The sequence below is a fragment of the Homo sapiens genome, chromosome 1 (genome assembly GCF_000001405.40).
Source record: "Homo sapiens chromosome 1, GRCh38.p14 Primary Assembly".
Classification (NCBI taxonomy): domain Eukaryota; kingdom Metazoa; phylum Chordata; class Mammalia; order Primates; family Hominidae; genus Homo; species Homo sapiens.
Genome location: NC_000001.11, coordinates 81,532,807 through 81,559,366, shown reverse-complemented (window position 1 = coordinate 81,559,366; position 26,560 = coordinate 81,532,807). Strand labels below are relative to the sequence as shown.

General features: G+C 38.7%; 1 protein-coding gene, 1 long non-coding RNA gene and 1 pseudogene across 10 annotated transcripts in view, besides 3 other annotated features; 2 read left to right on the top strand and 1 right to left on the bottom strand.

Annotated features, from left to right (window-relative positions):
* The window catches only part of ADGRL2 (adhesion G protein-coupled receptor L2), a 687,801-nt gene that overhangs the window by 434,566 nt on the left and 226,675 nt on the right, over positions 1 to 26,560 (bottom strand). The window lies entirely within an intron of this gene.
* MED28P8 (mediator complex subunit 28 pseudogene 8) lies at positions 1,523 to 4,884 on the top strand (annotated as a pseudogene). Its single transcript, NR_189272.1, has one exon. The product of NR_189272.1 is annotated as a mediator complex subunit 28 pseudogene 8 (transcript).
* LOC101927434 (uncharacterized) overlaps positions 1,665 to 26,560 on the top strand; it is a 43,823-nt gene continuing 18,927 nt past the window's right edge. The window contains exon 1 of the long non-coding RNA NR_125943.1: positions 1,665 to 1,703. This is a non-coding gene — a long non-coding RNA (uncharacterized LOC101927434). The remainder of the gene's footprint in view (positions 1,704 to 26,560) is intronic.
* Positions 9,551 to 9,710: a silencer, noted in NCBI's record as "silent region_1007". NCBI's record gives its function as "represses an Ori minimal core promoter by ATAC-STARR-seq in GM12878 lymphoblastoid cells {active_cell/tissue: GM12878}" and the evidence as "EXISTENCE:reporter gene assay evidence [ECO:0000049][PMID:35858748]".
* Positions 11,254 to 12,033: an enhancer, noted in NCBI's record as "OCT4-NANOG-H3K27ac hESC enhancer chr1:82013019-82013798 (GRCh37/hg19 assembly coordinates)". NCBI's record gives its function as "activates a minimal SCP1, AML or CMV promoter by ChIP-STARR-seq in naive H9 embryonic stem cells {active_cell/tissue: H9 hESC(naive)}" and the evidence as "EXISTENCE:reporter gene assay evidence [ECO:0000049][PMID:30033119]".
* Positions 15,047 to 15,654: an enhancer, noted in NCBI's record as "OCT4-NANOG hESC enhancer chr1:82009398-82010005 (GRCh37/hg19 assembly coordinates)". NCBI's record gives its function as "activates a minimal SCP1, AML or CMV promoter by ChIP-STARR-seq in primed H9 embryonic stem cells {active_cell/tissue: H9 hESC(primed)}" and the evidence as "EXISTENCE:reporter gene assay evidence [ECO:0000049][PMID:30033119]".

Here is a 26,560-nt window from a genome sequence, read left to right as displayed (position 1 = left end):
TCGTATTTATATCCATCACAATTGACACTAATCAGTTACCTACTTAGAGGAGCTTGTTTCTCTCACCAAGATTAGAGTATACCTATACCATTAATTTTATATTAATTAGTACTTATCCTTAAGATATTTTAAAGAAAGCAGGACTGGTTATTAATTCCATCTTTACAAATAAAGAAAAGGAAGTTCAGAGAGGCTAATGGTGAGGTCAGGTCCAAACTCAGGAATTTCTGACTCCAAAGCCCACCATGCTAGACTTAGCATATGGTGGGAAGATGACCAAATCTAAGTCTCCTTACAGAATGACAGAAAAAATCAGAGGTGAAGATTATAGGAATAAGAGAAAGCACACAACCAGAACACCAAACTAGTAAACATCCTACCTATGCCAGATTCCAGCTTGTTTATACCTGACCCAGACCAGGCACAATTCTTTATTGTTTGTGAGCCAGTTCAAATGCCTGCACTCTGAACTGTAATTTTAAATGCATGCATGACACCAGTCCAAGAACCTGGTGCAAGGTTCATTATATCGCTCTTCTTTTCCATCTGTACTTGCTTTCAGGTTTAGATTCAGTGCCTTAGAAAGGGGAATTTAAAGATATCAAGGGGTATGAAATGAGAATAACAAACATGTATTGAAAGTTAACCAGGTACCAGGTACTATTATAAACACTTTATTGTATAAACACTCATTTAAGAAGTGGGAATCAAGGTTTTTTTTTTCATTGTTATTTCCATAACAAATTTCAATAGCTGAGGCAAAATTTGCAAATATCTGGAGCTGAAAGGTTGCATGAAGAATGAATATGAAGGAATGTCTGCACTCAAATTCTCCCATGTAGCAATATGGCCTTGAAGGCATTGTCAACAAACCAGTGGGTGAGACATTTCAGCCACAGATAAGGGAGAACATACTATGAAAGGTGTTGTAATTTGATATGATTCTGACATTCAAATGACTGTTTATTTCTTACTGATTCATGTGAGAAATTTTTTTTTAGTATTATCACAAATAAACTATTACTTTCTTGCAGCTAATGAAAATAATTTTTGTTATTAATGTTCTTATATTTGTTCTTAGTTCCTTTTCTCCTTCTTTATAAAAAACCTATGTCCATACTGTTTTTCCCACCTTATTGTAAACGCTTCCAGAATAGGAGCTAAATTTTATGCCTCTTTGAGATTTCTAGTATTTACTTCTACTTTGCACATGGAAGACATCGTTCATTTATTCATTGATGATTTTTTTGAGCACCTACTGTGTGCCAGGCACTGAATTGTGTGATGGGGTACAATGGGAAATAGATGCAGTCCCTGCTGAAACTCTCACTGTTATAGAGAAGCCAGACATTCAACAGGCGATTTCATTACCGTATAAATATTATGTAGGGCAAAACAAGGTGCTCGCCAGAACAGAGGTGCGCCCTCCTCAATGTAAGGTGATCAGGGAGGACTTCCCAGAGAATGTGACAAATATTCAGAGATTATACAGAAAGTAACAGCTAAGAGTGGGCTCCTTCCACGCCATTCCAGCCACAGCAGCTCCGCTAGGGGGTATGTTCTCTGGGCAGCTACAGGGGCCCCTACTGGCCCTCCGGGGCCAGACTTCGCTTCTTCAGACAGCTCCACGTGCTCTGAGACCTTCTAACAGTACTTCGGCGGAGTAATTGGAGTTATCCTGCGATGCATGCTTAACTTCTCCGGTGAGTCAGGACTATGTCAACTGCACTGATTAGGAAGACATTCAAACTGTTATTGCTCAGTGTAGCCAGAAGTTTCTGGATATTGAAAGAAAGACAGAATGCTCTTTCTTTCTTTTTCTTGCTTTCTTTCTTTCTTCTCTTTCTTTCTTTCTTTCTTTCTTTCTTTCTTTCTTTCTTTCTTCTTTCTTTCTTTCTTCTTTCTTTCTTTCTTTCTCTCTTTCTTTCTTTCTTTTTCTCTCTCTCTTTCTCTCTCTCTCTTTCTGTCTGTCTTGCTCTGTCACCAGAATGCTTTTTCTTACAAAAAATATTGCAGTTATTTGTCCAGAAACCAGAGCAGGTTATCAAAGAGGATGTCTCAAAACTAAGGAATGAGTTACAGTGGAAAGAAGTCCAGAAGCACTTGATAAAGCTGAGCCGCTGGCACCAGGTGCTGGAGGACATCAACGTTCAGCTTGAAAAGCCGGCCAGCATCGGTATCCCTCGGGACTCCTTGGCCTACCTTGAGGAGGCGTCTGCCAACATCCCTGCACCTCTGAAGCCAACCTGAACAACAGGCAAAGGTGGTCAGCCTGAGAGTGGGCTGCTTCGTGAAGTTTGCCACACATCTCTTCTTCTTCTTCTTTCTTTCTTTTTTTTTTTTTTGAGACGGAGTCCGCCTCCCCGGTTCAAGCAATTCTCTGCCTCAGTCTCTCGAGTAGCTGGGATTACAGGCATACGACACCACGCCTGGCTAATTTTTTGTGTATTTTTAGTAGAGATGGGGTTTCACCATGTCGGTCAGGCTGGTCTCAAACTCCTGACCTCGTGATCCACCCGCCTCGGCCTCCCAAAGTGCTGGGATTACAGGTGTGAACCACCGCGCCTGGCCTACATCCCTTCTTGTAGACTTGACATTTTGGAAGAACTCTTTGCCAGAGAATGAGTTGATTTTAGTTTCATGATGTCATTGAAAAATGTTCCACTATTTTTATAAGCTATTAATTTCTTGAGTACTTTATAAAATGTCTGTAGCTTGGATAAACCAAGTAAAAAAAAATTTTTTTTTTTTTGGTCTTTAGCAAAGTTTAGACTGTTAGTGTGACAACACAGTTTCTTTAATGGTGGTTTTGCTTGTTTTTTAATTTTTGTATGACTTTTCATCTTTTTATGTGTGTTTTCCATTGTTTGATGTGAAGGAAAAATTATAGGCTGGGCTCTGTGGCTCACGCCTGTAATCCCAGCACTTTGGGAGGGATCCCAGCACTTTGAACCCAGGAGGTGGAGGTTGCAGCGAGCCAAGATCACACCACTGCACTTCAGCCTGGGTGACAGAGTGAGACTCTGTCTCAAAAAAAAAAAAAAAAAAAAAAAATTGTGACAGCCTGAGAATCGGGGGATGAGGATTTTGGTTGTAGGCCTTTTATGATAATTACCCCTCAGTGGTGTGTAGAAAAATATGTAAATTCGCTCTTGTTTCAAGACTTCAAACTACCTCAGGAAGAAAAATCTAATACAATATTTGTAATGCTTCCAGAGCTCTCAAAATGAGTATTTTTTGGTAAATAAGTCAGAAGAGGATTAAAATGTCTTGGGTTAGTGTAGTAATATTACAGTAGGATCCTTAGGTTGATGCTGACTTCTTTTGGGGGTAAGTTTATATTTTGTGTGGTGTTTACTTTTTTTTTTTCAGGAATGTAGTAGGAGCAGTGATACGCTAAATTTTGCCATTCATTCTGCAGTAATGAATCAGTTTAATGGGGGCAGACACTGTTTTCAGTAGCATGACAATGGGGGCATAAGTGAGCTACAAGGGGCTAAAGCTTGCTCTGATCATCCCTTTCTGTTTTGAGTTTTGCTTGCTTGTATTATTTTTGTTTTACATTTTGGGAGGGAAAACATTTTCCGTTAAGGAAGGTTATTGCCAGTGGATTTGATTCCAAGAGACTGGGGTGTCGCAGTGAGGGTGAGGAGGGGCTGCAGAGTGATCATTGACTACTTAACCTCCACAAAGAGCATGTGACACCTCTGCCTTTGGGGGATATTTTGCTTTCTTGTTAGTTTTTCAGGTCGCCTCAAATTCTCTGTCGAATTGCTAATAAGAAGTAGAGACTATCAGGGCTGGGCACAGTGGTTCATGCCTGTAATCCCAGCACTTTGGGAGGCCAAAGCAGGTGAATCACTTGAGACCAAGAGTTTGAGACCAGACTGGCCAATATGGTGAAACACCATCTCTACTAAAAATATAAAAATTAGCCAGATATGGTGGCGGGTGCCTGTAATCCCAGCTACTTGGGAGGCTGAGGCAGGAGAATCGCTTGAACCCAGGAGACAGAGGTTGCAGTGAGCCAGGATCATGCCATTTGTACTCCAGCCTGGGCAATAAGAATAAAACTCCATCTCAAAAAAAAAAAAAAAAAAAGAAAAGAAATAGAGACCAGCATTATTTGGCTCTCACTGGGTGAGGTTTTCTGAGTTTTATACAGTCTCTTACTAGATCTTATTAGATCACATCCCTTTACCCAGGACAAATGCTTCACTATCTTCTGACTGGCAGTACTCCTGTGGCTCTGTGCCTTGGCTCATTTTGTTTTCTTCAGCCTTGAAGGCCCCTTCCCACATGTACTGACATCCACTCATGTGTCTGTTCCCTGGAGCCTCCCAGCACCCATTTTGCTGCACCCCAAGGGCACAGGACTTTTATCTCTTCTACTGCCCTTGCTTGGTTCTCCCTTGAAGGCTAGTGCTTTGCACCTGTCTCTCTGCCCCTCACTAATTGTACACCTGTAAGAATCAGACATTATTCCCCTTAAATATACAGGGATCATATAGTCTTTCTCTTTTTGTTGTGTGTGTATATGGTATCTGGAACATGGACCTGTGATTACCAGCCTGACACCAACAAATCCCCTGAGTTACAATGTATAGGTTAAACAAAGCTTTTAAAAGCTCATATAATATGACCTCAAGGCTGTTAACCTGGTTGTCTCATGGTCATTAGAAACTCTGATTGGCAGCTTTATATTTCTTGACTAAAAGCCTAAATAAACTGATTAAGTTTTAGGCATTCTTGCAAAGCGGTTATTAGTGAAAAGATTGGGAACTATTCTATTTGGTGCTTAGTGAAAATATTTTGAATTGATGTATGTACCAGTTATTGCCATTTCTTTATTACATTCAAAAATTTTTTTTTGCCAAAAAAAAAAAGAGAAAGTAATAGCTAAGAGGGGAAATAGCAGGACAGGTGAAAGGAACTACGGAAGCCAAGGCCTTGAACCCAGCAGCAAGAGCTCAGTCAGTTCTGGGAACCTCATGTATTTCATATGGTTAGAAGAATAGTGAGATCTTGACTGATGAGACTGGGGTGAAACCAGGAGACAACTCACAAGTGGCACTCTGCCAATATTTGGTTTTGATGCTGACGAGGCCATTCACAGGTGCCATGATTACAGCTGGAATCCCTACAGGTGTGGCTGAAAAGTAAGTGTCTCCTGGAACCAATCATTATGACAAACAACAAATACCTCTCATGTTCTCATTACAAGTTAATCCAGAAAATAGTGTAAAATGGGTGAAGAATCCAGCTGTCATCTGTTTTTTAACCTGACTGCTGGAATTATCAGAGGTTATTATTAGAAGGCAGGAGGAATCTGGTCAGTAGAAGAATATTTCCCATATTCTCCAAACTTGTGTGGATATCATCTACAGGGCCTTTAGATAAATGGAACCTGAAGCTTATAAACTACCTGCCCATACATAAGCAAAACAGTGTTGGTTCTATTTGCATTTTGCAAATGAAGCATCATCTGCAGGTATATATCCCACTGCTAGTAGCTTTTGCCTCTCTCTGGCTTTCCTGGCTTTAAAAGCGTTTCTCCATTATGAGCAAGTTACTGAACTTTGAGGAAGAGTCCACTGTAATAACAGTAAAGTTTAATGATGCATAACTTTGAAAGACTGACAGATTCCCAGCCAAAGTATTGATTCTTACAGAATTTATGAAGCACATGCTGTATTCTGTGTCATTATGGTCTTTTTTTGGCTGAAAGAATCATGTAAAATAGATTTTTAAATGAGTGGTAATAGCCAGACATAAAGAAGGTATTGATGTGTGTCATGAAGGGTGAAATAGCATGCCAGATTAAGGCATATAACAAATCAAAAACAACAGTACCCTCTAATACTACAAATGTCAATTTGCTTTTCCTTTGAATCACCCCTTCTATTTACCACTTTACACATTTACAATTTGCCTTCTATAGACCTCTTCTGAAGAGCATTAAAGATGTGAAAAATTTTTGCATAGCTGCAAATACTGCTTTGGGAGATACTAAAAGTTCAAAAACCGGGTGCTTAAATTTGGCAAAGAAATTTGCTCTTATATGTAAATAATGCCCTTTGCAAAAATAATGCTAAAAGCTTATAATCTAATCTTTATTATATGCAGATATAAATGGCATAGTGGATCAAGATTTGATATTTAATTTTTTATCAATTCAATACTTTTTAAATAATACTGAAAATTTTTATGTGTTTTTCAGAAACACTAAAAATTTATTCTTCCTTTACAACTTCCAGCTAAGCTCTTTTCTGTTCCCAAATGATTGGGTGGAAGTCATCTCTACACTAACATATTTTGAAAAAGTATGGAATTTATTCTTCTGCTGTCTGTAAATGCCCTGTTCATCTTAATACCTATTATCAATTAGTTTCTCAAGAAACAATTGAAATGTAAGTCTTTGTTGTCTCCCAATTATTTTGTTTTGACACACTGGGGGAAAAAGTGGCTTTCAAGAATAGTAATTTAAACTTTGATTTTATGCTTCACTTTGGAATACATGTTTATTAAATGTGTATCTCACCGACAGAGTAATCAATACAGATTGTGTAGTACATTATAAGAAAACCATGTCTGAGATTATTAGAGAAATTAAATGCTTTTAGTTTTGCTTACTTGAGCAATATGTGAAAATTAACAGCTTAAACCCTTTCATGTATCTGACCAGGCTTAGTCTTAGTCAGAACTCATGGTTTTTTGGGGGGTTCTTTTTCTTTCTTTTCTGTTTTTTTTTTTTTTTTTTTCTAAGTAAAGTTTCATATACTCTACGTGGTTAGCATTCATCTAGTAAACATCAAATTACCTGAAATCCTAATTTTAAAGACTAACATTTATGGAGAGAGATCCACATTTAGATGGGAGACAGAAAGGAAAAGGAAATTGATTGAGTGGCTGCAGCTTTCCCTGAAAAGCAGTGCTGCATTTCCACCACATTCCAGAAACCTTTATAGAGCAAGAAAGAGAGGTCATCCAGGTCTAACTGTGCTCGGGACCAATGGATCCCAGATGAAAATATATCTCTCATGCACCCAGAAACCTCATGAGAATCAGCCAAATCCTTCTTCAAACAGCTGCTTCTCAACAATTCAGGAGTTTATCTACCTAATAAAAAAGTAACTTGGCAGGAAGAAAAAGGCTGAGACTCTCAATAGACTCTTCTCGGGCCTAGTGGAGCCTGAAGAACTCTTCAAGGTCTTAGTCAACAGTGAACAGAGGAATTTGAACCTGCACACTCATCTATACCACAAACAAGCTGCTGCAAGAGCCAGAGAGGGTTCAATTTTTACATAAACATTTTTTCCCAGGCCAAATAAAGGCAGATTCAAATAAAATAGGCCAAGTCCTAGATGGAAGATGAGAACAAAAACTCAGGGAACAGGAAAGTGATTCCTTACCTCCATTGTAATATCTCACAAGCAGTTCCCACTAATACATTTCAGTTAATCCGGGGAGTATTTCAATTCATGGGATCTATTTTCCATAAGTTTTCCAAATGGACATTCTTAAAAGAACAACTTACAGTTTGATTGATTGATTGATGTGCTAGAAGAACTAAAATTTTAAAAAGCTATATGTTTCAGAAGTATTTTAAAGGAGGTAGTCATACTCAAAGATATTTGAAATGCAGAGGCTGTTCATTCACACCTAGATCTTAATTTCCTATTTTTTTCAACTCAGACCCAGCATTCTTTAGACATTATAGGCAGACTATACACTTATGATGTATACATAAGTGCACATAATCACAGCATTTGGTTGTAACAAACTAGTTTTACTAAAATGGAAGATTTAATAGATGAAATGAGGAAATATGTCAATGTAATAGCATATTAGATTTTGCAAATGAGCTATTCCTAAGGCAACATGCATTGCTTTGCTTTTATATTTCCACAATCATTTGTTCACTTGACAGCTAACATTCAGAATCCATCTTTGATCTTGGAGGACTTGTACAAATCAAAGTATAATAAATCCTTACACTTGGGGACTCAAGGTGACACTCGACAAAAGCTGTCTTCTGAAAGAGTCCTTGGCCTGTTGGATACACAGATCTTCCTCAAGACCTGGTGTCAGGGCTAGTCTTTAGCAGACTTGAAAAGAGGAAAAACCTGTCCTTAGGGCTTTCAACATTACTGTGTGCCCCATTTCCTATCAAGCATCTGGGACCCAAAAATTCTAGTTTCCACCTATTGAGGATTTATTATGTGACACACACTTACATGTATTATTTCTGATCCTTACATCAACTTGCAGGATCAGAATTTCATCCTCATTGCATAGAAAATGAAGCTCAATGAGTCTCAGTACATCTTCTAAGAGGCAGAGCTGGGTTTCAACCTTGGGTCTGACTTCAAAGCCCCTCCTGAAGCCCATGACATCATCATGTCTCAGCCTGAGGCTTCCCTGTGGAGTTCACACCCAAACTTGTTCTTCCTGTTTTGACTCTAGATTCCCTTCCTGGAGCTTTGGCTTGGGACACTAATCATCTGAATATAGGCAGTAATGAATTTTTTTTTTTTTTTCTGTAAAGAGGGTAGAACGGAAAGCATATATGCTCCCACCTCTTCTATTGGCTTTTATTACAAATTCTATTTACTTTCTGATAGGGATACTTTGGAAATGATACCTTTACCCAGAGGAATTGTAACAGGATAAATCTCGAACAGCATGGCATATTGTTGATCAGGCAGACGACAGGACTGCCAACTCGGCGTGCTGCTAACATTAGCCATTTGTGTTGTGAAAACTCCTGTTAGCTTCTTAGAGCTACAAAGCCTGTGATGAGAAATTGTCTTTATTTTGCTTTGTGAATATCTGCCATTTGATTTTTACTTTCCAACATAAACTGACACCTCTTGGGCTTGTAACAGAATTTTTCCACTGTGAATAAGTCCCCGAAAGCACTCTGGGTTGGTAGAACAGCCCGATGTTCTGTTAAAAATCACTGGAAATTAATTTCTATTAAAGACCTAGCTTTGAAATTTACTGTGTTACTTTGGGAAAGCCACATCACCTCTCTACACCTTCAGCTATAAAATGGCTGTCATGAGGATCAAATGAGATTCTAGCTTTACAAAAGGCTTTGCAAATTGTTAAGAATTATACAAAAGTAAGGGCATTTCTGGGCATCATTTTGAATCCTATTCATTCCTTCCTGAGAAACAATCTTGCAATATAAGGCATTGACTGGCATCTTCCATCTGTGCTATCCTACCCTATGATACTCCTTGGATTTTCCCCTTAATTTACCTCTGCTCTGCCAATAATCAATATGGCAGGAGTTTCAAACATTTTCTCCTTGGATTTCCTAATTCAGACCAATGGCAAATCCTGAAGTTATTAGGTATCAAGGGCTCATTTATCAAATCCTTACAAAGAAGCTTTTCTTTTTGTAATTTTTTCCCTTTTCTATCTTAGCAGGTTATCTTTTGTAATCACTGATTACTGTGATTACTGTCTACTTGGGATAGAAGGCAGGGATTAACAGAACCATGTGAGGAAAGTTGAATGAAGATACCTCTCTCACTCATCCTTTCTTCCCATTTGCTTCTCACTTGGGGTAACAGGTACCTCTCATGCCCATTAGTCTGATTCTTTCTCTAAAAAGTACCTTAGTGCCCTCTACAGGTTGTGTGAATTTCTCATCCCGTGATCTTGTTTACATGTTATGCTTTCTCCCTTAGCTCTCTCCTAAAACCACTGGTGGCTAGGTTCTTCTCAATGGTGCCAGATTCCAGGAGGATTGCTTATTTATAGTATTCTCTGAAATGTATTTATCTAATGAGAGTATTGAAGAATATGGTGACTTCAATCTTGTGTGCAATTTGAGGGAGAGAATTGATCCCAACTATTTGGCATGTCAGTAGTTACTAGGAGACCATTTGCAGGTGATAAGCTACAGAAGACATCTGCAGGTGAGAAATCTGAAACTGAAAAAGGTCAAGTAACTTTGTAAGGCTTCCAAAACTATTTTGTGGTTGCAGAGCCAGAATCTAGGTCTCCCAGCATTTATTCGAGCATTCTTCCTTTCCTTTGTTTTGAATAGTTTCTTTTCCATATTTTCAAAAGTTTCTGTTTTGTCCTCCTGTTGTGTATCTCAAAACCTACCCCAAGGAGTTACAAACGTCATCCATTTGGCTTCAGTAGGTAACTGATGGATTAGGTCTTCCAGCATGTCAAAAGGATCTGCTTGGTAATACTAATCCAATTTGTAACCACATCCTGGTGCCGTTGCAAATGTCTCAGAGGTCAAAAGTAAAATTTAGTGAGAACTAGAAAGTGCAGCAAACATGGGAGAGGGCTCATTTCTTGATTTACTTGAAAGTTGCCTAAAGCAAAGCACTCCAACATACAACCTTGTAATGAGCTTTGGACTGCAAGGCAGAAATCTGTTGGCTTTTTCTAGCCTTCAAGACCTGGAAATTCTTGAACACCTTCTCAACCTTCTGTTTTTTGAAATGTCACTCACTCATTCCCAAATTAGTTGACATCATCAGCCTGGAGTTTATCTTGCTCACTCCAAGTGCAGAATGTCCACTGACTCAAATCCTTAATCATTCAAGAATTTGGGACTCACGAAAGTTTTTCTTCTTTGAGATTATTTAGAGATTTGGAATACAATTTGGATGAAAACAATGCTACATTTTAACCTGAATCCTTGGGGAAAAATAAAAACCTTGGAATACAATTATGTCCTGTAGATCAAAATTGAGAGTGAAAATACCTAGATACAAGTTCTGAGAGGATAACCCAAAGAGGACTTTGTGAAACTACTTAAAAATGGCAAGTCAACCACAAATCTATATTTGTTCAGCTTTTGGATTTCCTCTTGCTAAGTAATTTTAAAGCTACTTAACAGTATTTAATTGACATTTAACTCACTATTCTACTTGCTTCAAGTTTTTCATACTGAAGCGCTCACAATTATAACTTGCATATGAAAAATTACCTTAGCCTGATTTCCAAATGGCTGAAGAGTTTGATGTAATTTCTACTAGAATTCTGTAATATTGATGCAGCAGATGCTGGAGCAGCATTTTTCAGCTGTCAATTATGACCCTTTAGTAGGTCATGAAATCAATTTAGTTGATTGTGATTAGCATTAAAAAGAGTAAAAAAAGAAAGGAAGAGAATTGCACAGAACATAAGAAATTGAGTGCAAGTTAAGTATTGTTATGTGAAACTCTTTCTTCAGTTACGTGTGTAGTTGGATTGGGACATAAATTATATTTCTTGTGTGGGCTGTAGTCAAACTGAGAAACACTATTTTAGACTGCAGTGGGTAAGAGAAAGAACTCCTTCCCAGCTGTGTGAATCATTCTGAGACTTGATTTTCTACGCTGAAAATGTGTGTAATAAGACTTTCATAACAGGGTTGTTGTAAGAATTAAGTAAAACATAAAATAACATTGATGCACAGTATCTGACATAGTAAGAAGCTAATATTGTTATTTTGGTGGGAGTTATAATGAGAATTATTTGAAATCGTTTGAGATAGTAAATTAAAGCACTGACACTTATCCCTTAAATCAAGTTCCCTTGTTGCAAACTTCTACCTCCCAAGCACATAGCCCCTGGGAGGGAGAAGCTGGGAATTCCCAAGATTAGAACAAAGAAGCCATTGATCAGTTTTGAATCTCAAAAGCTGGCTCCTTTGACTTCTTTGCCAAGACAATAGTCATGAAATTTGGATTGTAAGAAAGAAAAAGATTTTCTAAATTCCTTTATTTCTTCTTTAACTATTGAGAAGCCGCCAGACAAATAATACTCGAGAGTCTTAAATGAAATAACAACAATACTAGCGAGTCTTAAATGAAAGTGAGGAAGAAGTCGGGAAATGCCTGGCTCCTCAGTTCCCACTGGATTCTTGGTAGAAGACAGAGAAATAGGAGAACATTGCTCCAGCTTCTCCAGTTTTCACCAATTCCTGGTGGTGGGGGTTGAGTGAGGGAAGGGTATAGAGATGTTCTAGAGAATTTGAGGGGAATGGTGAGGGGAAAGGGCCTTCTGCTCCTTCAAGAGGATGAGAAGCTATCGCTTTACAGGTTCCTTCTGCTTAACTACTGGGGGTTTTACATAAAATTAAATTCAGTGGTTTACTGTGGTTTTGTATAGAAAGATCTGAGTTTAACCCCTCAGAGTCTCCCTCAGCTCTTGCATGGTATGGTAGCTTTTCTGAGTGTCCTGTGAAACGAACCAGGGGCATCTGGCTGAAAGTAGGTGAAGGTCTTGCCTGGCAACTTTGCCAAAGCAGGTGGTCTAAAGAAAATGAAGCCATTCACGGTAGATAAAGATCCAGTTGGGAATCATTATTTTCAGCAAAAGTGGAGATGGGGGCTTGATCAACAAGGGGAGATGGCTATTGGGGCCCTGAAACACTGTAAGAATTGAGTGAACAAAACATGAATGAATATCACTAAAGGCAGTTTCTTGCAATGGAGGCTTCAGAATGCCTTGGGGATGGACAAGTCCCTCCTGAGATGACCACCTCTGGGAGAAGACCAGGCCGGGAGGACTTAGAGGACACCTCTTCAACTCCAGGACTCCACCTCCCCTAAGATTATGTGTACCTCACTCATTTCACATAATCCATGTAAATCCAGGTGGAGAGGCCGGAAATCTGACAAGTATTTCTCTTACTTGTTGAAGCACAAACTAAGTTACATAAAGAGATGGGTTGAATTGCCTAATAAGATTGAATCAACAATGTAACAGAAATAACTTTTCTAGACTGCCCAGTGGATGTGGAATTATGAAGAAGATCCAATCAATTAAAAAGAAATAAGCGCCATTTCTTGGCACATCTGGGCATGGTGTGAACACGTCTGTGATGTTCCTAATTTATCATTATTATTATGCTATATCTGTGGGAATGAAATGTTTCTGTCTTTATTCACACCAGTCTTCATATCACAGGGTATTTTGACTAATAACTCTTTAGATCCAAATTAACTATCTAATTGAGAAACCTTTACCCAAGAACCTCAAGTATTGAGCCAATGCTAAATGAGTATTCAAAAAAGAAAAAAGGAGTAAGCCGGACTTTGCGTTCCCAAATAAAATGCTGCCAAGTTCACGTGTAACCCATAGTGCTGGGCAGAAAGATATGGTAAAATTTTAATATTTACAGAGGACTTTTCTGCTTTGATAGTCACAATTGAAATTCAACTAGAATTCTTGCATCTTAAGCTTTAGAGTTTTCTTTCTTCCCCACAATTCTAGGGGCAGGTGGTGATGGTGGTAGTGGTGGACGGGATATAAATTGTTAAAGCAGGAAACAGTACAGAAAAAAAAAATATTTTTAAGAGCACTGATCCGTCCAGAGCTATTCCCTTCCCCCCGCACCCAGTGGCAGGATAAACAGCTGATCCAGGCCTGCCGACAGCAGAGAGAGCACGGGCTCACTGACACCCAAGGCTGACAGACCATCATGTAGTGATGGTCAGGGCCAGGCCAGTGTGTGCCCCATGGCTCTTGTTTTCCATACCGCAGGAGGCAAGATGACCCATGGGGAAGCACTGGAGTTTATTGATAGTGTGGGGGTTAGGACCTCTCACCCCAGTTAGATAAAACTGAGCTCTAGTCTTAGAATCATCATTTACTAGCCATGTGAACTTTGGAAAATTACTTAATCTTCCTAATCTTGGTCTCCTGTTCTATATAATGGGGATAACAACTGAAGCTCCCCATAAGCCTATTGGAATTTAAATAATTTATGTAAAAGAGATGTTTCAGTATCTGGAACTTAGATGCTCATTAGAAGTCAGTCAGGCCAGGCTCGATAGCTCAAGCCTGTAACCCCAGCACTTTGGGAGGCGAGGCGGGCAGATCACTTGAGGTCAGGAGTTCAAGACCAGCCTGGCCAACGTGGTGAAACCCTGTCTCTACTAAAAATACAAAAATTAGCCTGGCATGGTGGTGCATGCCTGTAATCTCAGCTACTGGGGAGGCAGGAGAATCACTTGAACCTGGGAGGCGGAGGTTGCAGACAGCCAAGATCACATCGCTGCACTCCAGCCTGGGCGAAAGAGTGAGAATCAGTCTCAAAAAAAAAAAAAAAAGTTCAGTCAGTCTTACTGTTTTTATTCTTCTGGGCAGCTATAAGTTTGAATCCCACTACTTATATGATGTTGGGTAAAATATTTTAGTGTTTTGAACCTCGATCCCCTTACTTGTAAGGTGGGACTAACTCACATTATATGAGATTATTTAGAGATTATAAGAAATAAATGTCGAGCCCTTCTTTTTCTCTCCTTTCTCCCTTTGTTCTCTTATGGTCAGAGTGTGTAAGAAGACCAGAAAGATCTCAAAGGTGATGGAACCAGGGATGTCTCGTGACCTGGGTCTTTGTCGTATACCCAGGCTCTTGGAGAAGGAGCAGGTTTCAGATGTGAGTAGGTGGCCAAAGAGAAAGTAGATGAGAAACTGATGGAAAGATCATCACATAGCGGGAAATCAAGAGTTCGTGCAGAATTAGAAATGAGAGTTCTGCTGACCTTCAGGTCATTTGATACATCACTGTCAGAGTTACCTTTCTAAAAATTCTGATCTTGCTTAAAAAAATGTAGTGGCTCACTATTGTTTACCATGAAAAGTTTAATTGCCTTGAAGGCCACCTATGATAGAGTTCCGGCCTCCCCTGTAGGATTACTGGCAGTTGTCTCTCTATGTGTGCCCTTCCTAGCAGGGAAGGAGGGAAGGAAATTAATTAGGACATTATTATTGAAATACAGTTGGCAGGACTAGGCAACTTGGCAAAAAATTAATTTCAGGTACAGAGAAAGGAGTGATAAAATTAGAAAAAGAGAAGTCACAGATGACATTAGGCTTCTTCTTTTTACCAGATATTAAATTAACTCTGATGGCAGCGAGTTTGGAAAAATCCAAGTATCCCCTGATTTATATTTCCTAGATTCGAAGACATAAGTAACTATAACAAACACCAGAAATATTATAACAGGGAAAAAAGAAACATTTCATTTTTATGACACATTTTGATTTTAGAAATATATATGGAGAATATTCTTTTCTTTTTCTTTATTCAATAAATATTTATTGACAACCCAATACATGCTAGACACTGTTCTAGAAATTAGAGCAAATTATTTTACAGAATAAAATAAAATCTGTACCTCCCTGCACTTTACTTTCTAGTTGGAGTCAGAAATAAACATAATAAATTACTTATTTTTGTAGCATGGTCATAGATGATAAATGCAGTGGATCCAGGGAAAAGTGGGATAAAGGGAATCAGGGTTGCCAGATGGGTTCGGGTAGAGGTTAGCATCTGAAACAGGTGGGTTGGTGAGAGCGGGTCCCACTGAGAAGGCATCACTTGAGCAAATGACTGGAAGGAAGTGAGGGAATGTACCCTGCGGCTATCTAGAGAAGGCTCTGCCAAGCAGACAGAACACCCGGTGTAAATAGGCTTTAATGGAAGCATTCCTGGTGTATTGAGAAACTTTCAACAGACGTATGAAGTTGAAGCTGAGCAGGCAAAAGGAGATGAGTTTAGAAAAACTCGAGAAGAGGGAGAGGTGAGATAACCTGTGGCTTCTCAGGACATGGTGAGGACTTTGGCTTTTGTTCTGAAAGAAATGGGAAACTATCGTAGGGTTCTTTGCAGATTTTTAAGGGGTGTTGTTGACTGCCTCTTGAAAATAGACTGTCAAGGGACAGGGCTAGAAGCAGGAAGATGAATTGAATTAGGAAGGCTATCGTAGTAACCCAGTGAAAGGCGATGTTAATTCCAGTTGGGGTAGCAGCAGCAGAAGGGATAAGAAGTAACCAGAAATAAATATGTATTTTAAATAGAAAAAATATGTTAATATATTGTCTTAGTCCATTCATACCGCTTTAACAACATACTGTAAATGGGTGGCTTATAAACAGCAGAAATGTATTTCTCTCAGTTTTAGAGGCTGGGAAGTCAAAGATCAAAGTGCCAGCAGATCTGGTGTCTGGCAAGGGCCTGCTTCTTCATAGATAATGCCTTCTCCTTGTGTCCTCACATGATGGAAGGGGTGAACAACTCCCTTGGGACTTTAGTGAGGGAATTAGCCCTCACAAATTCCATTCGTGAGGGCTCTGCCCTCACACTTGAATCACCTAGCAAAGGCCCCATTTCCTAATACCACCATGTTGGGAATTAGGAGTCTAACATATGAATTTTGGGGGAGACACAAACATTCAGACCATAGCATATATGTTCCAGGGTCCTATAGTCACATTAATTGTGGAAATACAGTCCTACATGCTAGATAACTTATCTTGAAGTTCAAAATAAATGTTAGCATATTATTAAGGCTTTGCAAAAACAGCAAAACCAAAAAAAAAAAAAAGCAAGATAAAAAGTGTTTAAATTTGACCCAGTATATTCTAAACTTGTTAGCTAACATAAACTGTTGTTGGCAGACATCTGTTAAGATTTCCAAAGACACCAGTTTCCCATAGAATAGTGGAAGAAATGTTGAGATAGGGGACTATGATTTTTATAAGCAACATTATTTGCTGAGAAATAACTATTGTAAAATCTGAATAATCCATTGTTGCATTATAAATATCCTTTATATTCCTATTGAGCTCTGAAGTACTCTTATCTGGTTATTAACTAGGCATTCAATAGCAATAATGCCATGATTCTACTTATTGAATTGATAATCAAAATAATAGCCACTGTATTCTTAGATTTTATGCCCTCTTCCCACAGTGGAAATGTTATACAAATGTTATTGACCTTACTATTCTGAAAATGTCTTGCAAATTAGAGCCTAAATGTTTAAATTATATCCTTACCCTTGCACAGGTTTGAAAGGTGGGTGCTAGATGAGAAAGCACTTTTATTCACTGCTGAAGTAATGCACATTGGCTGTAACCACGCCTCGCCTAACAGCAAAAGAATGTTCAGAAGCATGCCCAGTTAATTGAAACTACAGGGGGCATTTAAGTAGGCAAAGTGTTATTACTCAGTTAAAAATGTGTCCAGGATATCAGAATTACCATTCCCTACTCCTGCAAAAGGCACTCTGGGAATGGTAATGGCCACGAGTGTTAGGCCTCTGGCATCCTTTTACTTTCCTCATTCCTGCTGCTCTCGACAGACTTGGAGAGATATACACGTTACCATCCACAAGAACTGGGGTTACTGTTGTGAATGTGCAAGTCTGATGGTGTTCAAACCTGTGGTACGGGGCGAGAACCCTAGGCCATGGGCATGAGGTTTTCACATGAAGTTCTCCAATGCCAATAATATTTGAAAATTTACCTGAAAGAGTAATTTAAGTAGCAAAACTATAGCCCTTTTCATCGAGGACCTTTAAGTCTGAGGCAAGTTACTTTTAGTTTATTCCAAGATATTGTTTGGAAAAGAGATTTCTTTTCTTTACTTTTTCGAGATGGAGTTTTGCTCTTGTTGCCCAGGCTGGAGTACAATGGAGTGATCTCGGCTCACCGCAAACTCCACCTCCCGGGTTCAAGCGATTCTCCTGCCTCAGCCTCCCGAGTAGCTGGGCTTACAGGCATGCGCCACCACGCCTGGCTAATTTTGTTTTTTTTTTTTTTTTAGTAGAGACGGGGTTTCTCCATGTTGGTCAGGCTGTTCTCCAACTCCTGACCTCAGGTGATCTGCCCACCTCAGCCTCCCAAAGTGCTGGGATTACAGGCGTGAGCAACCGTGCCCAGCCGGAAAAGATATTTCTAATACAGTGCACTGATTATTTTAAATGAGATCATTTGCTACATTTGATCTTTCTTTCTTATTTGAAATTTAATCAGTTTCTTATAATTTCTAGAAAGCAAACACCCTATGTTTGCCATCTGTGAGTTTGTCTCTTAGGCTGAGGTGTTTGCCAATGTGGGTGTGTGAAAAGGTGAGAGTTCAGGGTCTCTGTAGGCAGGCGTGAGTGAGATCTTATCATACACTGGTAAAGTGTAAGTGCAGTGTTCTTTTAATCCTACCACCAGCACAATCTGGTACCTACTCCACATCCAAGAGCTTGCCTAAGTAAGAAAAAATATAATACATGGAAAAGAAAGAAATGTCCATTTGGACATTGGTTGCATCCTGGTTCTTGCACAGGAAAATCAGTCTGTAAATATAATAAGCAATAGCAGGATACAACACAGACATAATATTTTAAGATTTCTAAACATTCCTCTGTTAATTCAAAGACATAAGAGAAATAAATCACTTTTTATAAGGTATCAGAGAAGTTCTTGTAAGATTATTGATATGGTTTCCTACTTGTTAGCTGTTCCCCCACAAATAAATTATAAGTTCCTAGAGGGCAGGGGCAATATATCATTCACCTTTACACTTCCATCTGGACATACGGTAGGACCTCAGAATGTGATTGTTCATTGATTGATTGTATATACCATTAGGTATAAAATTAAGCTTTAAAATTGCACTTTATACAGGTATTTTTTTTTTCTTTCTCTTATTACCACCCCTTTGTCTCAACTGCCACCATTTCTCCCTGGATTATTGGTCTCTCTGCTTTCTCTTTTATTTCCTTCCAACAAAAGCAAAAGTGATGTTAGACTGAGAGCTAATTCACATAATTACCTTTTTGAAACCCTTCATTGCCTTCCCCCTTTCCTGAGAATAAATCTTAATACCTTTGAATTTCTTACCAGGGCCTGTCAGTACCTGTATGATCTGGCCCGTGTTTATTTTTTATTTTTTTTTCTCAGGTTCCTAGGGCCTTTATACAGGCAATCCCTCTTTGCCTGGAATGCTCTTTCTAGTCCCACAATGTGCACAAGCAGCTCCTTTGATTCTAAGGCCTCTGGCCTTTGTGATCACCCTATCTAAAGCTGGTCACTTCTGTTAGTGTCTTGTTTAGACATTTGTACATTTCCTTCAAGCACTTGCTATGCATTTCCATTATTTTCTGTTTGTCTGTATTTTCCATGAGGGGAGGCACTGTGCCAATCTTGCTCTGCATTTTATCTGTAGTGTCTAAGTCAGTGTCTGGCTTGTGGTAAGTGTTCAATACATATTTGTTTAAAAGCATTATGACAAAAATCTAAAGTAAATTTTTTTTCCATTAAATTCCATGTTCCTAACTTACTTTATAAAATTGGAATGAGTTCTGAAAAATCAATCACCTACAATGAACAGATTGCAAAATTTTTAGGAAAAAAGTTTTAAGATTTAGTCTAGTCATAATGATGTCCTGGCTATTATACTCTGGAATTGGAAAATTAGAAATAACCTATTCACCTCCCCTTTACTCATTTTACAGATGGAGAAACAATCGTAGAAGTTAAATGACCTGCCTGAGATCTCCAAGCTAGTTAGCAGTACAACCAGAATTAGAATTTCTAGTTTGGGGTTCATTTCACTATGCCACCTGTTTGGGAGAAAAATACCTACTAGATTCTCTAGATTCTTAGAGTCACCAGTCATCTTTAGTTTTAGAATCTCAAAAATAAAAACACTAAGTTCTAGAGTAAGGGATGTAAGAGAAATTGTCTGTCTGCTTTTGGGATTTGCCTTTTAAGGAAAGAAAAATGCCTTTTTTTTTTTTTAATCTTTTCCCTTTTCATTGCTGGAATACAGATGTGATGGCTAGAGCTAGAACAGTCATGTTGGATCTCTGAAATGGAAATCGTAGAAATTGAGAATGACGGAGCAAAAAGAGAGTAGTGGTAAGAGTCCTTACGTTGTCAGTCTGCCTTCTTAGTCTTAGAATGCTGGGAGAACTTCTATAGGAGAAGGAAATGTCTGTTCAGTTTTGGGTTCCTTTATTATAGCAGCCTAAACTCATAACATGCCATATGATTTGGTACCTAAAAGTGAAATGCTGTCCTAAGAAAAGACTAGAATGTGCAGCATCAGGCGATCGGGGGCAGTGATATAGATATTAGTGGCTGAAAATCTGAGACCCACGTGTGAACGTTGTGAAATGTTTGATGATATTGTTATCTGCGGTATGTTAGAAGTGAGACCAGATGCTAACATGCCTTGTAGCTCTAGAGCTGTCAATATGCGTTTTACAGTCCTGGTGGGGAGGGGTGGTGGTGGCATCATTTTATAAATTTTTGTAGCTGTTTTTGGTTGTCATAATAATTGAAGGAGGGAATTTAGTGGACAGGACTAGAGGTGGTAATTGTGTTACAAAGTTTAGGACACAGTCTGACACAAAAATAATTTATCTATATCTATCATGACTTTCAAACTGCTGGACATTTCTTGATAAAAACCTGGATAATTTATAAATATGCACACCTAATTCTGTTTCACATCCAACACAAAGATTTTTATTTTGCACTGATTTTTCCAGAAAAGTATATTAAGGGAAGATTTTATGTTGTCTTTTTTTTTTTTTTTTTTTTTGAGACAGGGTCTCACTCTATCACCCAGGCTGGAGCCCAATGGTGCGATCTCACCTCAGTACAACTTCCGCCTTCCAGGCTCAAGCCATCCCCCAACCTCAACCTCCCAAGTAGCTGGGACCACAGGAAAACACCACCATGCCTGGCTAATTTTTTTTGTATTTTTGGTAGAGGCAGGTTTTTGTCATGTTGCCAAGGCTGGTCTTGAACTCCTGAGCTCAAGCAATCTGCCCGCCTTGGCCTCCCAAAGTGCTGGGCTTATAGGTGTGAGCCACTGTGCCCAGCCCTTTATGTAGTCTTATTCCAAATTTTACTGAATTGTCATCATTTCAGAAGGTCATCTACAATAATCCTGCCTATAATGAGTCATCGACATAACACCCTTGTATGAGGCTGTATTTGTGGTTATTGTATCCAGAGATTCCATGTATAGATGCAAGAATCTCACTACTCTATTTTGTCTTCTAGTGTGGTTGTGCCTGAACAACTACCATGAATAATTTCAGAAATTACATGTGTAAATTTCAGAGTATGTCCTCAAAAGAAAGAAGCATGCATTTCCTTTCCTTTTTTCCCCCTGCTGGCTAATGACAAAGATGATGACTGGAGCCAGAGCAGCCATGGTGGATCAAGAGATGAAAGCCACAGTTGAAGATGGCAGAGCTATTACACAGAGGGAGGCTGTGTCTCTAAGATGGCACAGCTGCTGCATACCAATAACCCTGCCTATCCAAACTATTACGTGAGTGGGAACTAACCTGCACCTTGTTTGAGCCACTGTGTTTCAGGGTTTCTATGTCATGATAACCCAACAAAATTCCTATCTAATATAGTTGGGAAGAGCAAAATATAAATAAAACCTAGTAAAAGCCCCAGAACTTCTTGTTAAATACCCAAGCCCAAAACATTTTCAAAGATAAATTTATAAAAAGCATGATTATGAAATCGACAATTTGAAAGGACATTTTATTTATGTTTTTCCTATCTTTTCCTGTAATCAAGGAGACACGGCCGGGCATGGTGGCTCATACCTGTAATCCCAGCACTTTGGAAGACCAAGGCAGATGGATCACCTGGGGTCAGGAGTTTGAGACCAGCTTGGCCAACATGGTGAAATCCTGTCTCTACTAAAAATACAAAAATTAGCTGGGCGTGGTGGTGAACACCTGTAATCCCAGGTACTTGGGAGGCTGAGGCAGGAGAATCACTTGAACCTGGGAGGTGGAGGTTGCAGTGAGCCGAGATGGTGACACTGGACTCCAGACTGGGTGACAAGAGTGAAACTCCATCTAAAAAAAAAAAGAGAGAAAAAGAAAGAAAAAAAAGAAAAAGAAGACAGGCCTAGCATAAGAAACTTGGGAATTGGAAAAATAGCAGTACTTTTAGTAAAGATAAAATGCTTTTCATTAGAAATAGTCATGCTGGGCAGGCGTGGTGGCTCACATCTGTAATTCCAGCACTTTGGGAGGCCGAGGAAGGAGGATCACGTGAGGTTGGGAGTCCCAGACCAGCCTGACCAACGTGGAGAAACCCCGCCTCTACTAAAAAAAATACAAAATTAGCAGGGCATGGTGGTGCATGCCTGTAATCCCAGCTACTCCAGAGGCTGAGGCAGGAGAATTGCTTGAACCTGGGAGGCAGAGGTTGTGGTGAGCCAAGATCACTCCATTGCACTCCAGCCTGGGCAACAAGAGCGAAATTCCATCTCAAAAACAAAACAAAACAAACAAAAAAAAGAAATAGTCATACTGTAAGTTTTAACTTATAACTTTAAAAGGCACAGATGTATGTGTTTCTGGTATAGGATGATGCTTTTTTCTAGTTATATGCATATGTAAATATACATATTCATGCCAACTTTTAAAATGTATACAGTGGACATATTCCGTATATGTAATTCAAAAACAATAAAAACAGATCAAGAGGTTTGAAATGTTTTGTGTATTTAACAAGTATTTATCAAAAATAAAGGAGGTCTTTGTATTTAAAGTTCATAGCAATATTCTCTTGGATAATTTTATTCTTACTTCACACAGTATTGCCTACTGAGAACCTTATATTTGCATATAATGACAGTTACATAAGTATGTTGTGATTTAAAGACCAAATACGCTTATGCAGTGCCTAGCTCAGTGCCCTTCACGCAGTAGGCACTCACTAAACACTTAGCTACATGAATTTCACATGATTATATTCCTGAATGATGTATGATTGTATTGGTTACCATTTTATCAATATATTATTTATAGAACAGACCAATTTAAATATCTTAACAAAACAGTTCAAGAATTCTAACTATAAGTCTGATCATGTTTGTTAAAAACAAAACAAAACAAAACAAAATAACCACCAAAGGAAAACAACGACGACAAAGAAACAAAGACACAAACAAACAAAAAACCCTAGATCAGATCATGGAAACCGAGTGAGTTTCTGAGAGTCAAAGCAAATTCTGAAGATAGAGATGAGAATAGAAGTTGTGGCAGCTGATTCCCCATTTCAGTGCTTTGTTTTAGCTGACCACATTTCCTCCCTCCTTAGAGAAAATCGATGTACAATGAAATTATCTGTACTCATCTCTGGTAAATAAATAGGAGAAATCTTTCTTGTTTCAAGACATCAATGTGCAACGATTGTTCACATGGAGAATTTTGTTTGTTTTTCTTCAACGGCTCTTCAATTTTCCATTTTGTCAACTTAAAAAAAACCAGTAAAATATTTTATTAAAGTAAGTGAAGAGAGACTACAGGGGCCAAATACAAAATTTAAAAATCATTTAGAGAAAATTTTACTCAAATATATACTGCACATATTATTCAGAAACAACAAATGTTTGGATGTTTATTCAAACTTGTAATTTATAAAGAAGTTGAATATAAGTAAAAATGTAAGGGAGATGAACAGTAAAGATAGCAATTTTCAGGTGGATGCCTATATTTTGCAGCTCAATGTATCACTTTTAAATGGCATATCTGAGATTCATGTGCTTACATCTGCATGATTGAATCTGTGTAAATATGACTTTATTTACACTGTTTGTATGTGCAGTTAGGAAATTTTACAAATTATGTCTGGAAGTACATTTAGAATGTCCATGATGACATTTTTACATGTTTAAATGTTAGGTTTTTTTCCTGGGCATTTTATATCCTGCCTCTAATTTGTATTTAGATTTCAAACCTACTTTGCAGGAGCCATATCTAATTCAATGTTCTTTGCACCATCGGGCATACTACTTGTACTAAATAACTGTTTATCATCATTGAGTGTCTTAAAGTAAATGCAACATAATTTCATCTGCCAAAATCCTGCTATGCGTTTATATGTTGCTTTTAAAAACATATAACCCCAAGTAAATCACATAAACATGGTGTACTGTACAGTCTGGGTCTGCTGTCTGCTGCTTTCCTCTTATTATTCTTCCAATGTTACTTTTGTTTCTACTTCCCCTCCTCCCTTCTACATCAAACCACTTTTACTACAAATTCAATTTTGAAAAGATAAGTTTTTAGTCTCTGATAAACCTTTACCATTCAGAGAGAAGTCTGAAAGAAAGGAATGTCGGCACACTCACACACTTACACACACATTCACACACACATACACACACACATGAGATAAGGGTCATAATCACCACAGCGCAACAATCCAAAGGTAGAGGCATTTAGCTATGGAATGGTTAGCAATATAACTTTAATTTGAAAAAGATTGGAGAACCAAAGAGATATTTAAAATTTTTAAAAATCACTCTCACATCTTCCTTTGTTGCATCTTTTCAGTTCTCTCAAAAAACTTGACAGCTCTGGGAAAACAAAACCCTTCAACATTTCTTGAAGCTTAGAGTCAGTCCTCAGAAAAGAACTCTTTCTACGTTGTACACACTTAAAGCCGACTTGGACTAAAGTACTAAACAACAGCTCAGTAGCAGCTATTTTAAATCACATAAGACTCATCCAGAGATGCCAAAAAGCTTAGAACCAGCAGGCCCTGATTGTGGGTTAAAAAGAGAGGTTGGGGAGGTAGGGGAAGAAAGAGGGAAGGTACTTAAATGGATGTTCTTGTCATCGAAATAAAAATCACAATATTCACCTAGTATTTGAATTCACAAAGAATGTTAAAAATAACTTGCATTTGATTCTGTAACCTTTGAAAAAACTTGAAGAATAGTGGCATTATTCTGTTCTTACCAGCCACCAAATAGTCTCAGACATAAGCCATGCAAGGTGTCTCTCAGATGGGCCATGATTATTAGAATCATAGATTTATAGACATGGAAGGACCAGCGGGAGGTAGTCAGAAACTAACTAGTTCAAGAATCAGAAAACCTTGCTAGGCATCTGTCTCAAATACTAATTAAATCTAAATTGAAAAAGCCATGTGATCACAGACTCAATTTCTTTCTCTGAAAAATGGGAACAGTTTTCTTTGTCTTGTCTTGGCTCAAAGTTATTGTGTAGCTCATATCAGATAACATGTGTGAGAGTGCTTTGATCTGGTAGAGGATGCTGTAGATAAAATGTATTTTCTTCTAAAATAACTTGTAATCAGGCCTGGTGCGGTGGCTAACGCCTGTAACCCCAGCACTTTGGGAGGCCAAGGCTGGTGGATCACCAGAGGTCAGAAGTTTGAGGCCAGTCTGGCCAACATGGTGAAACCCCGTCTCTACCGAAAATACAAAAATTAGCCAGGCAAGGTGCCTCGTGCCTGTAATCCCAGGTATTTGGGAGGCTGAAGCAGGAGAATCACTTCAACCTGGGAGGCGGAGGTTGCAGTAAGCCAAGGTCATACCACTGCACTCCAGCCTGAGCAACAGAGCAAGACTCGGTTTCAAAAAAATAAAAAATAAATAGTAAATAAAATAAAATGAAATAAAATAAAATAACTTGTAATTAGCAGATAAAGAAGATTATGAAGCCCATTTTGGTTAGATGACACCCACATTTTAATAAACAGCACAACCAGAATTCAAATTTGGGTTGACGATAGTCTAGAAAAGGAGATTGTCCTCATATGTTCATAGTGAGGCTTTGTCTGGAGACCCCATGATCTAAACGTAGCCCAGGTGCTTTCCTTCTTTATGTTCTATTTTCTTTTAGGCTAGGAAGGCGTCAAGACTCACACAAATGGGCAAAGACAACCTGACCACAGATTCTCAAGTACCTAAAACAGTGATTCACTGCTGGTGCCCCTTGGACTCCTAGTGTGAGGGTGTGGGTGGGAGGAGGGAGCTGGATATGGAGTTATTTCCAGAATAATGAACACTAAGCTCTGTAATAGAATAAATTATAGTTTACACACATTTGTAAGACTATGCTTTCAATGCATGTAGCTGATATTAAGATTGTTCAGATAAAATTAATCTAAATGCTTCTGGAATTCAGAGTAGCTCTCGGTATTTTATTTTCTTTAAAATTAAAGGACCCTTAAGTATAACTGCAAGGAAAAGAAGCCTGCAGACTTTAAATATTTGGGGAAGATTTGGCCTAATTTCTTTCTTCCTATGCCAGAATGATGTGAGTAGGTAAAGTGGAAGACAAATTCAGAGGAACATACTTAAGAGCAAAAGAATGTGAGAGCCCTCCCCTCAGTAAAAACTATGTTAGAGTCCATTTTTATTTATTTGTTTTTTTGAGATGAAGCCTCACTCTGTTGCCCAGGCTGGAGTGCAATGGCACAATCTTGGCTCACCGCAACCTCCGCCTCATGGGTTCAAGTGAGTCTCTTGCCTCAGCCTCCCGAGTAGCTGGGATTACAGGCGTGCATCACCACAGCTGATTAATTTTTGTATTTGTAGTAGAGACGGGGCTTCACCATATTGGCCAGGCTGGTCTTGAACTCCTGACCTCAGGTGATCCACCCCCCTCGGCCTCCCAAAGTTCTGGGATTACAGGTGTGAGCCACCACACCTGGCCACCCATTTTTATTTAAAATATGATTAGGCAAATAATAAAATTCTAACCACTCTTTAGTTAGTAATTGTTACAGTACAGAAGTATGTTCATTTATTCATTGGGATAGATAGATAGATAGATAGATGATAGATAGATAGATAGATAGATAGATAGAATTTTTTGTTGTTTTTTTTGAGACAGGGTCTCACTCTGTGGCCCAGACTACAGTTCAGTGGTTCAGTCACGATTCACTGTGGCCTTCCTTGATCTCCTGGGCTCAAGTGATCCTCCCACCTTTGCCTCCCGAGTGG